At 53.1% G+C, this 3,720-nt stretch overlaps 1 annotated feature.

Moving 5' to 3' along the window:
* Nucleotides 1,328-2,295: an enhancer, noted in NCBI's record as "H3K4me1 hESC enhancer chr5:10532633-10533600 (GRCh37/hg19 assembly coordinates)". NCBI's record gives its function as "activates a minimal SCP1, AML or CMV promoter by ChIP-STARR-seq in primed H9 embryonic stem cells {active_cell/tissue: H9 hESC(primed)}" and the evidence as "EXISTENCE:reporter gene assay evidence [ECO:0000049][PMID:30033119]".

Raw genomic sequence — 3,720 nt, 5'->3', positions numbered from 1 at the left:
CACAGCTGCTTTCCAAAGTCACTGAGCTTGCTCCCTGGCTCCCTGATGAGAAAGATGGGAAAATGAGTAAAATGACATTTCACAGCCATCTTCAACATTCTGGCTTTTTCAGCACTGAATGCCTCCTCTGTAGCAGAAGAAAGCTGTGCTGCTCTTCCAACCCAGGCCTCGCTAACCCCGGCTTCAAGAGGCACAGATGTCTGTATGTGTGTCCCTGGCACGTATTATGGTACTTCCACAGCATCTCTGGAAGGCCCCCACCCAAAATGTTTTCCCCCAGGGCTCAATGATGTCAACAAGAGAGACTCATTCCCTGGGGTTCTTCTCCTAGAAAGCTTTTCTTCCCCCTCGCCAACCCCCGCACCCCTCTCTCTCTCTCTTTTTTTTTTTTTTTTTTTTTGAGGCAGAGTCTCACTCTTACTACGCCGGAGTGCAATGGCACGATCTCAGCTCACTGCAACCTCGCCTCCCAGGTTCAAGCAATTCTCCTGCCTCAGCCTCCCGAGTAGCTGGGACTACAGGCACTCGCCACCACGCCCAGCTAATTTTTGTATTTTTTGTAGAGACGAGTTTCACCATGTTGGCCAGGATGGTCTCCATCTCTTGACCTCATGATCCGCCCGCCTCGCCCTCCCAAAGTGCTGGGATTATAGGGGTGAGCCACCGCGCCCAGCCTTTTTCTTTTCTTTTTGGACAGGATCTCGCTCTGTCACCTAGGCTGGAGTGAAGTGGCGCAATCTTAGCTCACTGCAGCCTCGAGCTCCTGGCCTCAAGTGATCCTCCCACCTCAGCCTCCCAAAGCACTGGGACCACAGACGCCACAACCTCACGGGCTATGATGCTTTTCTGAAATGCACAGGCTGTTGGCAGGGCCGTGGTGGGCACACGGGCTGTGGGGCCACTCACCCACCTCCACGCCCCCTCCACCTCTGCCCTGGCGCAAGAGGCCCTAGGACCCTCCCACCATTCCCACCCAGAACTGTGGGAGGGTCCTCTCCTCCCAGCTCTTCCTCCAGGACAGGACACTCCTCTCCCTGCTGCAGGCCCCTCTCCTCCTGGAGGGTCCCAGGAGGCAGGTGGGGAGGGGAAGAGACCGATCCCGGAGGGGAAAGGGCGAGGCAGAGACAGATCCCCCGGACCTCACCATTTTGTGTGTAGGATGAGTTTCTAAAATGGCTTAGAAACTTAAAAACCAAACAGATCCCAAAGCCTCCCTGCTTTTTATAGAACATCAGTCCCTGCTTCCAAATTAGCAACCCTTAATCTCCTGCCGCTCTAGTTCTGAGGGGCCCTAAGCTGCTGGGTGAGGACTCAGCCCTGCGTTAGCCAGCGGGGTGGAGACGCTGGCAGAGGAGGGGAGGGGACCCGGGGACGTCGGGGGCGGGGCGAGGAGGGGACCCAGGGCGCGGGTCGGAGGAGACGGAGGGCTGGGGGAAGGGGTGGCGGGGAGAGAACTACAGTTAGGGGGAGAGGACCAAGGGTGCTGGGGATGGCGTCAAGTGGAGGTGGCTTCGAGTGGAGGTGGCTTCAAGGAGGACCCCAGGATAGGGAGGGCAGGAAGGGATCGAAGGTAAAGAGTTGGGGGCCTGCGGGGGGGACCCTAGGGGGCTTCCTGGCCTGGGCCCAGTGTGTTCATATCCTGGGGCCCCCATAACCAAACATTACAAATTGGGTAGCTTAAAAACAGAAATGTGTGTTTCTCACCGTTCTGGGGGCCAGAAATCCAAACTCCAGGTGTCAGCAACACTGGTTCCTTCTGGAGGCTCTAAGGGAGGACCTCTTCCAGCCTCTCTGCCCACTGCTGGTGGCCAGGCCAGCCTTGGCGCTCCTGGCTGTGGCCACACAGCTCCTGTCTCTGCCTCCACTGCCACAGGGCCTTCTCCCCTGTGCCTGTCTTCAAAGTGCCCCTTCTCATACGGACGCCAGTCATAAGGATGAGGACCCCCCTGCTCCAGAATGGTCTCATTTTAACCAACCCCATCTGCAAAGACCCTATTTCCAAATAAGGCCACATTCTGAGATATGAATGGATATGAGTTTTGGGGGGACATTATTCAACCCAGCACATCCAGTGTCAGGACCACCCACAAGCCCAGACAGAAAGCCCGGCTGATTCCCTCTCACTGTGTCTAAGAGGCAGGTTGTGCCAAGAAAAAGCCTCCCCTTTAGATTGGAAGGAGTGAAGGTGTCATGAAAGCTGAGTCACCTAATGGGTGTTGATGGGGACAGGCCCTTCAGCAGCCTCTCTCCACCCCAGGCAGTCCTCCCTGACTCTCTGTGATGACCACGCCTTTCCCCAAGCCCCTGGGGGCTTCATTCCCTTGGTCCTATCCCAAGAGTTAGAGCGCCCACCTTCAGAACTCCTCCCTCCTTTAAATGACATTAAATGATTATATCACATGTGCTCCTTGTGCAAAACTAGGACAAATTGCCAACTTACACATACGGTCTATGATCCCACCACTCTCAGCATTTTAGTGAACCTCTTTTTAGCCATATATGTATTTTTTGAGACAAGAGTCTCACTCTGCTGCCCAGGCTGGAGTGCAGTGGCAAGATCACAGCTCACTGCAACCTCCACTTCCCAGGTTCAATCGATTCTCCTGCCTCAACCTCCTGAGTAGCTGGGATGACAGGCGCGGGCCACCACATCCAGCTAATTTTTGTATTTTTAGTAGAGATGAGGTTTCACCATGTTGGCCAGATTGGTCTCAAACTCCTGACCTCTGGTGATTCACCCGCCTCAGCCTCCCAAAGTGCTGGGATTACAGGGGTGAGCCACCACGCCCAACCAGCCATACACGTATTTTAAGTTATCCTTTGGACCTCAGATGGACAGAGTTGTAATCACCACCCTCAGTCCACCACATACCATGGTTTGCACACACATTGTTCTTTTTATTTTACTTATTTTTCTGGCAATTTGTGTCGAAATAGGATGCAGTGGACGTGATAGCTCCTATTTATCTTTTGTGTTATGCATTGCTCAAAGCATGTATTTATTTAATCCCCAAAGCCCCTAGCTGTGCTGTGCTGGAGTTAGCCCTGGCTGGCTTGTGAGGGTGACTTAAGTTTTCAGAAATTCTGTCAATAGGTTGTTAAGTCACTGGGAGCGTGATATTGGCCATTATGGGAGTATTTGCCACCGAAGTCACTAGATGCGACAAATCAGGGCTTTTTCATCAAGAGCCCCTTAAATGCCACCCTTTGGCCTGTGGGGTTGGTACTCTTGTTGTTCCCACTTAACCAATGAAGAAACCAGGATAGGGAGGTTGGTAACACCCTAGGATGCACACCCGGCCAGTGGCGAGTCCAAATTCGAACCCAGGAAGTTTGTACAACACCTGAGTCTGATGACACTGTCGCCGCCATTTTGAACTCTGATATTTTCCATCCATCAGAAGCAGCTTCCCAGGCACTAAAAATTCCTCAAATTTCACTTTTGATGGCTGCATAATTTTCTGTTATGTGGACATACAGTGTCTTGTTAAATTAGCCCCAATTGTAAGACAATAGAGTTCTATGCAGTGTTTTCTCCTTGCAAAAATGTTTCAACCCACCTTTCCCCTTTTCATTGGTGTTGGTCCTGTGGATCCAGTCCCAGGGGCTTCCTTGGTGAGCGGGGCATCAAGCTAAGCCTCGTGGCAGCCGGCCCTGAGGATCAGGCTGTGGGGGGCTCAGGACACACTCAGCTCCTCCTGAGGGTGAGGTGCCCCATCG

This window comes from Homo sapiens, chromosome 5 (assembly GCF_000001405.40).
Source record: "Homo sapiens chromosome 5, GRCh38.p14 Primary Assembly".
Lineage (NCBI taxonomy): Eukaryota > Metazoa > Chordata > Mammalia > Primates > Hominidae > Homo > Homo sapiens.
The sequence above is the reverse complement of the archived record's forward strand: the minus strand, read 5'-3'. Positions and strand labels throughout refer to the sequence as shown.